The sequence below is a fragment of the Homo sapiens genome, chromosome 3 (assembly GCF_000001405.40).
Source record: "Homo sapiens chromosome 3, GRCh38.p14 Primary Assembly".
In the NCBI taxonomy this organism is placed as follows: domain Eukaryota; kingdom Metazoa; phylum Chordata; class Mammalia; order Primates; family Hominidae; genus Homo; species Homo sapiens.
In genome coordinates, this window is record NC_000003.12 from 183952055 (window position 1) to 183964116 (window position 12062).

The 12062-nt window shown below is 45.8% G+C and overlaps 1 protein-coding gene across 6 annotated transcripts in view; it reads right to left on the bottom strand.

Annotated features, from left to right (window-relative positions):
- ABCC5 (ATP binding cassette subfamily C member 5) overlaps positions 1-12062 on the bottom strand; it is a 97951-nt gene that overhangs the window by 32121 nt on the left and 53768 nt on the right. For all 6 annotated transcript variants that reach the window (NM_005688.4, NM_001320032.2, XM_005247059.6 and 3 more), the window contains 4 exons: positions 11331-11534; positions 9457-9600; positions 7679-7781; positions 1032-1216 (listed from right to left, as the gene is read on the bottom strand). In NM_005688.4, the coding sequence (NP_005679.2) occupies positions 1032-1216; positions 7679-7781; positions 9457-9600; positions 11331-11534 (636 nt within the window). The remainder of the gene's footprint in view (positions 1-1031; positions 1217-7678; positions 7782-9456; positions 9601-11330; positions 11535-12062) is intronic.

Consider the following 12062-nt stretch of genomic DNA (forward strand, 5'->3'; position numbering starts at 1 on the left):
CCCCTGCTCAGCGCCATTCTCAGCTCAAGGGCAGGGCAGGGTACAGGATAATGACCCACCCTGGGACCTGGTCATGGCTTTGTCCACCTCTTTTTTTTTTTTTTTTTTTTGAGACAGTGTCTCACTCTGTCACCCAGGCTGGAGTGCAGTGGCGCAATCATGGCTCACTGCACCCTCTGCCTCCTGAGTTCAAGAAATTCTCATGCCTCAGCCTCCCAAGTACGTGGGATTACAGGTGTGCACCACCATGCCCAGCTAATTTTTGTATTTTTAGTACAGACAGGGTTTTGCCATGTTGGCCATGCTGGTCTTGAACTCCTAGCCCCAAGTGATCCACCTGCCTTGGCCTCTCAAAGTGCTGGGATTACAGGCATGATCCACCACACCTAGCCCTCTTTCTCTCTATTCTAATGTCATATGGTTTGGCTTTGTGTCCCCACCCAAAGCTCATCTTGAATTGTAATTCCCAGGTGTTGAGGAAGGGACCCGGTGGGAGGTGACCGGATTGTGGGGTGGATTCCCCCATGCTATTCTTGTCGTGACAGTGAGTTCTCATGAGATCTGACAGTTTAAAAGTGTTTGACATGTCCTCCCGCACACGCTGTCTTGTCTCTCTTCTGCCACCTTGTGAAGAAGGTGCCTCCTTCTCCTTTGCCTTCCACCATGATTGTAAGTTTCCTGGGGCCTCCCCAGTTATGTGGAACTGTGAGTCAATTAACCCTCTTTCCTTTGTCAAGTACCCCGTCTTGGGTATTTCTCTGTAGCAGTGCAAAAATGGACTAATACACAACGGATGAGAACAGATAGCCTGCAGGTGTCCTACTGCACGCCCTACTGCCCTGTGGGTTGGTCAGCGTTTTTTTCCTTCTGGTGAGGCTACATTAGGGACTCATCTTTTCATCCTGGAAAAATCTCTCTTTACAGCTTCTTTTAAGTGAAAACTAGAACAGTTTCCCTAAGAATAGCCAGGGAATAGGGAGAAACGGCCACATTCTTAGACACAGAACTTTCCCATTTATGAGTAACCTTACCCCGCTTCCTTGCTTGATCCAGTAACTCAACCACCAGGTGCTGAAGGCGGTGCTGCCTACATTCAGCATGAAAAGGGCCATAATAACCAGGAATGCCAAGGGGCCCCCAGCAGCCTGGATGTAGACACCATATACTGACCAGGGCACTGAACCCTGCCCTTTCTCTTCCAGCTGCACAAGCTGCCCTAGGTAAGAAAAAAAGAAACATGGACTCAGAAGGGAAGAACTATTTCCATAAAACTAAGTCACCTGCAGAGCAACAGAATCGGACAACCGGCAGCTTCACAGGGGTCTAGATTAGATTTCCTCTTTGTCAGAAGCATTCATTCATCTATTTAACATTTACTGAGCACCTACCACAAACCAGACCCAGGATGAAGCCCAGGAGCAGCAAAGAGGATGAAGACCAGGTCCCCACCCCTAGGGACCTGGCTGAGGAGCCTGCCACAGACTGGTAGGACAGGCAGATCAATAATCACATAATTACAGTGAAATGTGCTCAATGTGATGATAGAGCTATACGCAGGGCAGCATGGGAACCCCTGGGAGGCATACTTGACCTATTTGGCTTAGGTGTGGGGTGGTTGGCAGGCATGTTTCAGGTAAGACTTTCTGTATTGCTTCTCAAAAGGTAAGCCACAGATGACCGGGTGGGGAAAGGAGAGAGCAGGCAGAGAAAACAACACAAGCACAGGCACGGGGTAGCAAAACACACCACCACAGTGATTCGGCACAGCTGGAACAGATGTGCACTTAAAGAATGGCAGGAGATGAGGCCGACTAAGCAGGCTGTGGTCACAGAAGAAAGGCTTTGAATTTTGGCCCCACAAAGAACTTCTCAACAGAAAGGGTGACAGGTGTGTCTGACTTCTGTTGGGCTAGGAAGGACCTGGGATGGCTGATATTGCCACACCAGCTGCCTCTGGGAGCGAGCAGCCTCTTTCATGCCTCCTGTGTTCCACACAAATAGCCTTTTCTGTATGTGCCCTATCAGGGAAAATATTTGAAAATGGAAGGTTACTGAAAGACTCCATGCAGGAAAGTTGGTTGGTCTCATGTTTTGTGTGTGTGTTTTTTTTTGAGATAGAGTCTCACTCTGTCGCCCAGGCTGGAGTGCAGTGGCGTGATCTCAGCTCACTGCAACCTCCGCCTTCCCGGGTTCAAGCAATTCTCCTGCCTTAGCCTCCCAAGTAGCTGGGATTATAGGCGCCCGCCACCACGCCTGGCTAATTTTTGTATTTTTAGTAGAGACGAGGTTTCACCATGTTGGCCAGGCTGGTCTCGAACTCCTGACCTCAGGTGATCTGCCTGCCTCAGCCTCCCAAAGTGCTGGGATTACAGGCATGAGCCACCGCACCTAGCTGGTCTCATGTTTTTAACTAGATCTCGCAGCTGACCGTGTGGAAGACAGGTTCAAAACGAGGCAGCTGTAACACTGTAGGTAAGAGATGATAAAGGCCTGAACTGGGGTTGTGATGGTGGGATGGAGTTTCGGGAGGTAAATTCAGTAGGACATAGTAACTGGCTGGCTGCTGGAGGAGAGAAAAGGTTCAAATATATTCCTGAGGATCTCCCTGGCGCACTCAGATTCTTAACACTAATATGAGAATACAGAATGTAAACCAGAAAGTACCTTGAGACGGGTCTCAATCAATTTAGGAGTTAATTTTGCCACGGTTAAGAATCATGACCAGTGACGCAGCCTCAGGAGGTCCTGAGAACAGGCCCAAGGCAGTTGGATTACAGCTTGGTTTTATGTTTTAGGGAGACATGAGACATCAATCAATATAAGTGGGGTAATCACTGGTTTGATCCGGAAAGGTGGGGCAACATGGGGCAGGGAGGTGCAGCTTAAAGGTCAAAGGTGAATTCAAAGATTTTCTGATTGGCAATTGGTTGAAAGGGTTAAGCTCTGCCTGAAGAGTTGAAATTAGCTTGAGTGGTGGGGGAGTGGTGGGGGACAGGGTGTGGACGCCAAGGTTCTTGTCATGTAGATGAAGCCTCCCAGTAGCAGACGTCAGAGAGAACAGATGTGAATGTCTCCTATCAAAGGTGTCAGACCCTCTGGAGAGACCTAGTAAAGGAAGGAGATTCTCTACGTAATGCAGAACTTCCCCTTCAACAGACAGCTTTGCAGAGACATTTCAAAATATGCATTTCTTCCAGGGCCCTGCTATCTGTCCTGTGATGCTCTATTATTTTAATAGAGTGAGGTTGGAATTAGGTATCTTACAGCTACAAAGAGACTGTTCTGTCAGTCTTAGGATCTCTATATAAATGTTAATGCTCGTCAGTTGTGTGCCTGAACTCTAAAGGCAGGGGAGTATAATAAGGCACGTCCAACATTGTCTTCCCTTCATGGTCTGAATAGATTTTCAGGTTCCATTGGGTACCCTTGGCCTAGAGGAGAGTTTATTCAGTTAGTTGCAGGGCACAGAATTTAATTTTTCATTTGCAAGAGAAACAGCTATACAGGAAGATTTTCCCTGTTTTGTTTTTGAACTTTTATTTTAGATTCAGGGAGTACATCTGCAGATCTGTTACATGCAGATCCGTGTGTATATCACATCGGTTACATGCAGATCTGTGTATATATCACATCGGTTACATGCAGATCCGTGTGTAAATCACATCAGTTACATGCAGATCCATGTGTAAATCACATCAGTTACATGCAGATCTGTGTGTATATTACATCTGTTACATGCAGATCCATGTGTATATCACATCAGTTACATGCAGCTCCGTGTGTATATCACATCGGTTACATGCAGATCCGTGTGTATATTACATCTGTTATATGCAGATCCATGTGTATATCACATCAGTTATATGCAGCTCCGTCTGTTTATCACATCGGTTACAGGCAGATCCGTGTGTATATCACATCGGTTACATGCAGCTCCATGTGTATATCACATCGGTTACATGTTCATCCATGTGTATATCACATCAGTTACATGCAGATCCGTGTGTATATCACATCGGTTACATGCAGATCCGTGTGTATATCACATCTGTTACATGCAGCTCCGTGTGTATATCACATCGGTTACATGCAGATCCGTGTGTAAATCACATCGGTTACATGCAGATCCGTGTGTAAATCACATCGGTTACATGCAGATCCGTGTGTAAATCACATCGGTTACATGCAGATCCGTGTGTAAATCACATCGGTTACATGCAGATCCGTGTGTATATCACATCTGTTACATGCAGATCCGTGTGTAAATCACATCGGTTACATGCAGATCCGTGTGTATATCACATCGGTTACATGCAGCTCCGTGTGTAAATCACATAGGTTACATGCAGATCCGTGTGTATATCATATCGGTTACATGCAGATCCGTGTGTAAATCACATCGGTTACATGCGGATCCGTGTGTATATCACATCTGTTACATGCGGATCCGTGTGTATATCACATCGGTTACATGCAGATCAGTGTGTATATCACATCGGTTACATGCAGATCAGTGTGTATATCACATCGGTTACATGCAGATCCGTGTGTATATCACATCTGTTACATGCAGATCCGTGTGTAAATCACATCGGTTACATGCAGATCCGTGTGTATATCATATAGGTTACATGCAGATCCGTGTGTATATCATATAGGTTACATGCAGATCCGTGTGTAAATCACATCGGTTACATGCGGATCCGTGTGTACATCACATCGGTTACATGCGGATCCGTGTGTATATCACATCTGTTACATGCAGATCCGTGTGTAAATCACATCGGTTACATGCAGATCCGTGTGTATATCATATAGGTTACATGCAGATCCGTGTGTATATCATATAGGTTACATGCAGATCCGTGTGTAAATCACATCGGTTACATGCGGATCCGTGTGTACATCACATCGGTTACATGCGGATCCGTGTGTACATCACATCGGTTACATGCGGATCCGTGTGTACATCACATCGGTTACATGCGGGTCCGTGTGTACATCACATCGGTTACATGCGGGTCCGTGTGTACATCACATCGGTTACATGCGGGTCCGTGTGTACATCACATCGGTTACATGCGGGTCCGTGTGTACATCACATCGGTTACATGTGGGTCCGTGTGTATATCACATCGGTTACATGCTTATCCGTGTGTATATCACATCGGTTACATGCAGATCCGTGTGTATATCACATCTGTTACATGCGGATCCGTGTGTATATGACATCAGTTACATGCGGATCCGTGTGTAAATCACATCGGTTACATGCGGGTCCGTGTGTACATCACATCGGTTACATGCGGGTCCGTGTGTATATCACATCGGTTACATGCTTATCCGTGTGTATATCACATCGGTTACATGCAGATCCATGTGTATATCACATCTGTTACATGCGGATCCGTGTGTATATGACATCAGTTACATGCGGATCCGTGTGTAAATCACATCGGTTACATGCTTATCTGTGTGTACATCACATCAGTTACATGCGGATCCGTGTGTACATCACATCGGTTACATGCTTATCCGTGTGTACATCACATCGGTTACATGCAGATCCATGTGTAAATCACATCGGTTACATGCGGATCCGTGTGTACCTCACACCGGTTACATGCAGATCCGTGTGTATATCACATCGGTTACATGCGGATCCGTGTGTACATCACATCGGTTACATGCGGATCCGTGTGTATATCACATCGGTTACACGTAAATCCGTGTGTATATCACATCGGTTACACGCAGATCCGTGTGTATATCACATCTGTTACATGCGGATCCGTGTGTATATCACATCTGTTACATGCGGATCCGTGTGTATATCACATCGGTTACATGCGGATCCGTGTGTATATCACATCGGTTACATGCGGATCCGTGTGTACATCACATCGGTTACATGCGGATCCGTGTGTACATCACATCGGTTACATGCAGATCCGTGTGTACATCACATCGGTTACATGCAGATCCGTGTGTAAATCACATCGGTTACATGCAGATTTGTGTGTATATCACATCTGGTACATGCTTATCCGTGTGTATATCACATCGGTTACATGCAGATCCGTGTGTATATCACATTGGTTACATGCAGATTCGTGTGTATATCACATCTGTTACATGCTTATCCGTGTGTATATTACATCTGTTACATGCAGATCCATGTGTATATTGCATGACGCTGAGGTCTGGGTTACTAATGATCCTCTCACCCAGGTACTAAGCATAGTACCCGGCTTTTCCCTCTTTACACAAATAATGTTTACAAATCTCAGAATAAGCCTCCCTCATGCCTTGAGCACTTTAAGAGTTGTGAGTAGCCAGGTTAGTGACTATGTACAGAAGAACATATGTTTGCTAATGATATTCTGATTTTTTACTGCCCGTGGTAAGAACTAACAAATGTCTCAGCCTTCTGTGCTGTTTGTTTTTTGGGGTGTGTCAATAAGGTATCATAAACCACACTTGAATTCAAAATCTCATACCTGAATTCAAAATCCCATACCTTTTAAAAAAAGAAATAAAAGAGGCAGTAAGTCAGGATGATCAACTCCCAATACCAAATATCTCCTGCAGTTTCTTTCCTCTTTTTTTTTTTGTCAGGATCTCACTCGGTCCCCCAGGCTGGAGCGCAGTGGCTCACCTCGGCCTCCCAAGTAGCTGGGACTACAGGTATGTGCCACCACGTTTGGCTAATTTTTATATTTTTTGGAGAGAAGCGGGGCGTGCCATGTTGCCCAGGCTGGTCCTGAACTCCTGGGCCCGAGCAATCTTCCCACCTCAGCCTCCCAAAGTACTGGGACTACAGGTATAAGCCACCTGTGCCTGACCTCCTGCAGTTTTAAGGATAAGGAAGTAGCAACAGGCTCCGTCTCCAAAGCAATGGCAAACCCAAGAAAGTCCCTGGATTCAAAAGGGTGAGGTAAGGAGGTGAAGCAACAAAGAGATTAAAACAAGAACACACATGTCTACATCTATACAGTACACACACACACACACACACACACACACACAGTGTTTGTGTGTATTTAAATTGACATGCAACTTAAAATTCAAAGGTGAAAATGCCCACATTATTGCAAATATCTTCCCTTAACTCTCAAGATTTGTTACTGTTGATAACATAAAGGGTTTAAGAAACAGGATCAAGGGCTCTGGACAGGAAAAGCCAAGTAGGAAAAACCCCTCTCTGTCACTCTTACTCATAGTCCTGGTGCTATATTGTCAAGACAAAGTGACGAGTCTACTGTTCTAACATGGGTGCTTCTGAGGACACAGATATTCTTAGAGCCAGAACACCTCTGATTTGGTTGGGACTTTTCATGAGCAGAGGCGAATCACTGGATGGAAGGGTGTACCTGTACCCACCATTCGATTTTTCCTTACTCAGGATGACTCAGTTCTAATTACCTAAACCTGACCCCACCCTGCACAGGAGAAGACATGGGTCTGAAGGTGACTCTTACTGCCCTGGTCTGTTTAAGCAAACAGAAGGTGCCTCGTGGTCTCCCAGTATTATATAAGAACTTTGTTTTCCAGAAATGTAAGACCAAGTATTTATATTGTACACACACTGCTATCAAACATCATGAATTACTTACTACACAAGTTATTTCTGATAAACTTTGATGACAAATCTAAAAATTTCAAAAAAGGCCATTACCTTCCTCTGGCTTTACTGCTTTTTCCTTCTTTACTGATCCTGTTTTAGGACCCTTGTCTTGTGACTTCTTCTGTGAACCACTGGTTTCCTTTTTTGAATTGATCTAATAATATTTAAAAAAAAAAGTCTCCAGTCATGTTAGCCATCCAGATGAATGTCCACAGGATACATATTAGGGAATCATCAATTAAACTGCTATTACTGAAAAAAGATACATCCAACTTCTTAAAAGGGTCACCTATACTCATTTCTTGTACTTCCTCATCTCCTTAAATTTTTAAGATTTAAAATTTAGTCCACTGACATTTGCTCTCCCCAGTCACTAAACTCCAAACACAGTAACCTTTATTCTGTTCTTGTCCATTCCAAGTTGCACAAAGTATTAGGCATGGGGTCATTTCCATTCCTCCTCTCTGAGCCCACATCACTAAACCAAATCCATAGATCTGATCATTTCCCACTGCTACCACAGGATAAACATAAGCTTTTCCACCTGGTTCTGTAGGACCTCCATATTCTGGCCCTGCCCTAATCCTGCAAGCTCCTCTCCCATCTCACTGGTGTCCACAGCCCCTACTCTCAAGCCACACTGGACTTCACACCATTCCTTACACCACACTGCAATTTCCCATTTCTCTACTTTGGTCCACACTCGTTCCTCCACTTGGAATGCCCCTCCCCTTGTCCCAATCGCAGTCACAGTTGTCCCCATTCAGATAGATTCAAGTCTTCCATTCTTCATGAGGCAACATACACTCCCTGGAAAGCTCACCCTCCCATTCGCCCTTAGAACTCCATTAGTACTATACATGTGATGTGGTCTTGTAAGCCACATTTGTAAGTGCTTGTAAGAGCATAAAAGCATCGGTCTTCCCTAGAACACTGTGAGTCCCTTAAGGACAGAGATGATGTCTCTCACATGGTTACAACCTGCACAGGCCCTACCCCTGAGAACTGCCTATAACAGGGCACACAGGGACTCAATAAACAGCCATCAGGGTTCTACCTGAGATAACAGAAACTACTTAATGCTCTCCTTTCCAAGTTTCTCTTATGTCTTTTTTTTTTCTTGAGATGGAATCACGCTCTGTCACCCAGGTTGGAGTGCAGTGGTGCAATCTTAGCTCACTGCAACCTCTGCCTCCTGGGTTCAAGCGATTCTCCTGCCTCACCCTCCCAAGTAGCTGGGATTACAGGCGCCTGCCACCACACCTGGCTAATTTTTGTATTTTTTTGTAAAGACGGGGTTTCTCTCTATGTTGCCCAAGCTGGTGTCGAATTCCTGGGCGCAAGCAATCTGTCCACCTCAGCCTCCAAAAATGCTGGGATTACCAGCAAGAGCCGCAGCACCTGACCTGAGTGCTTTCAAATGTATGCAATATTTAATTTCCCTACCTTGGCACTTTATTCACTTGTTTATTTAAAAAAGAGCTTCATAATGCTTCAATCAGGTGGATGGAGCTTAGGAAACTAAGCTGTGAATGAACAGCAGCACACATCTTCTCTGCCCTCACTGAGCCCATATCCTTCTCCCTGCCATTGTCATATTAGTAAGTTCTCAGTGACAGAAGACCTCAGCTCACCAGCCCCACAATCCTGCTCTCCTAGAGCAGAATCAGTGTGTGAACTAAGGCACAGCAGTCTGTTCACCAGAAAACAGGGCCCCTGCCAATAAGACACAGACACTGGATTCAGCTGAGGTCTCTCCATCACTCACTCCGGCTGTGTTTCCCTTGCAGAGACAGAAGGGGACACACGCAAACACCATCAGATCTTACCTCAACTGGCGGTGTCTCTCCCAGCAACAGGTTATTAAAAATGGTAGCATAGTCACCATTTAAATTCATCAGTTCCTCATGGGTGCCTCTTTCCGTAATACAGCCCTCTTTCATGAAGATCACTTCATCACAGTCAACCAGGTACTGAAGGCAAAGGCAGAGACAACACAATATGCTGTTTGTGCAAATACATTCAAAAACCCATACATTAGTTCAGTAGTTCTCTACAGGAGACGAGTTAAGCTCCCAGAAGACATTTGGCAGCATCTGGAGACATTTTTTTTTTTGAGGCAGAGTCTTGCTCTGTCGTTCACGCTGGAGCGTGGTGGCGCAATCTCGGTTCACTGCAATCTCCGCCTCCTGGGTTCAAGCGATTCTCCTGCCTCAGCCTCCCGAATAGCTGGGACTACAGGCATGCAGCACCATGTCTGGCTAATTTTTTTGTATTTTTAGTAGAGACGGGGTTTTGCCGTACAGGTAATCCGCCCATCTCGGCCTCCCAAAGTGCTGGGATTACAGGCCTGAGCCACCGCGCCCAGCTGGAGACATTTTTGGTTGTCACAACTCGGGGGAGAGGTACACAGATGCTCCTCAATTTACAATGGGCTTACATCCTGATAAACCCAACGTAAATTGAAAATATCAGAGCTTAGCCTAGCCTACCTTAAACATGCTCAGAACCCTTACATTAGCCTACAGTTGGGCAAAATCATCTAACACAAAGCCTATTTTATAATAAAATGTTTAATATCTCATGCAATTTTTTTCAATACTATGCTGAAAGTGAAAAACAGAATGGTTGTGTGGAAACCATCATAAAGTCAAAAAACTGTAAGTTGAACCGTAAGCCAGCGACTGTCTCTACTGGTATCTAGTGGCTAGAGGCCAGGGGTGCACAAAGCAGCCCCACACAACAATGGACTATCTGGTCCAAAACATCAGTGGTGCCAACACTGAGAACCCCACTTCAGTGTATTGTGCCTCGTGACATAGTATAAGGAGCAGTTCCTCCAGTTTTTTTCTTTTTTTTTTTTTTTTGTGACAGAGTCTTGCTCTTGTTGCCCAGGCCGGAGTGCAATGATGCAATCGCAGCTCACTTTAACCTCCACCTCCTGGGTTCAAGGGATTCTCCTGCCTCGGCCTCCTGAGTAGCTGGGATTGCAGGCACGTGCCACCATGCCTGGATAATTTTTGTATTTTTAGTAGAGATGGGGTTTCACCAGTTGGTCTCGAACTCCTGACCTCAGGTGATCCGCCAGCCTCAGCCTCCCAAAGTGCAGGGATTACAGGCGTGAGCCACTGTGCCTGGCCGAGTCCCTCCGGTTTTTCACATGAATCTGCTGATGGAGCCACATGAGCCCTGCATTAAATTTACACCCTTTCACTGCACTCACAAATATACATAATTATGACTTTCTTTGGCAGAATGGAGGGTTTGCCCCCTAAACGTGACAACATATGTGAGCCAGATGGCAACATCCTTGAGCTGCTCTCCAAAGTGCCTGCTTATGATGGAATGGCAGAGGGAGAAAAGCTTGTTTTCCCAAAACAGTTCCCACTTGCATAGAGATGTTAACACAATGCTTTCCAAACTATCTTATACCCAAACTCCATTTTTGGCCTGCTCCTCTCAGCCCTTTTACTTGCTGATCTATATGCAGAAGCTGATATGCTCCAAGGATCTCTGATTTAGATGGCCATCTGTTACACTGGTACAGTGAGCTTTATTGGTACAGGGGGCTAATTTGCTAAGAAAATGAAACCTTGATTCCAGGAATTTCTAGTTATAACACAAGGATACCTGGAGCAAACCTACCTCCCTGTTTCTGATTTCCCAAACTCAGGCAGGCAGCCGAGGGAAGAAAGAACCATACCTGTAACTGGTGGGTAACAAACAGAACTGTCTTGGACTTGAGATGTTTCCGGATAGCACTATTGAAGATGTGGTTGCCCACATGGGCATCTAAGGCACTGAGGGGGTCGTCCAGGATGTAGATGCTCCTGTCACTATACAAGGCCCGGGCAAGGCTGATCCTCTGGCGCTGCCCACCGCTCAGGTTGGCTCCTCGCTCTCCAATCTACAAGAGCCCAGAAGTGTGGTGAAGCCTCCAGCGCAAGTCCAGAACAGCGTGGAGGGGTCACCCAGTCACTTCTCTTCTTGCCCACCCAGACCAGCTCCTTCTGTCAATTCCCCGCAGATGAACTGCCATGCTGATTCCCCGCAGATGAACTGCCATGCTGATCCTTCAACGAAGTGGGGGAGTTGGCCCAGATGCCTCTTCCTCTACCACTGCCATCTGGGTACCGATCAATCCTACATCTGGTCTTGCCAGTCCACCCGGATGCTCCCCCTCCAATCCATTCTCCACATGGCAGGAAGATCTTTCCAGAACACAAAGCTGACCATCTCCCACCCTTGCTTAAAATTCTTCAAGAGCCTCAAAGGATAAACCTTGAGTATCCAAACATGGCATACAAACCAGACCCTTTGTCACCCAGTTCCCCAGCAGTTCTCAGCCTCCAGTGCACAATCCCCCTTCCACATCCTGGGACCTAAGCCATTTGAAATTATGTGTATACTATGAACATGACAATGTCATGTGCTT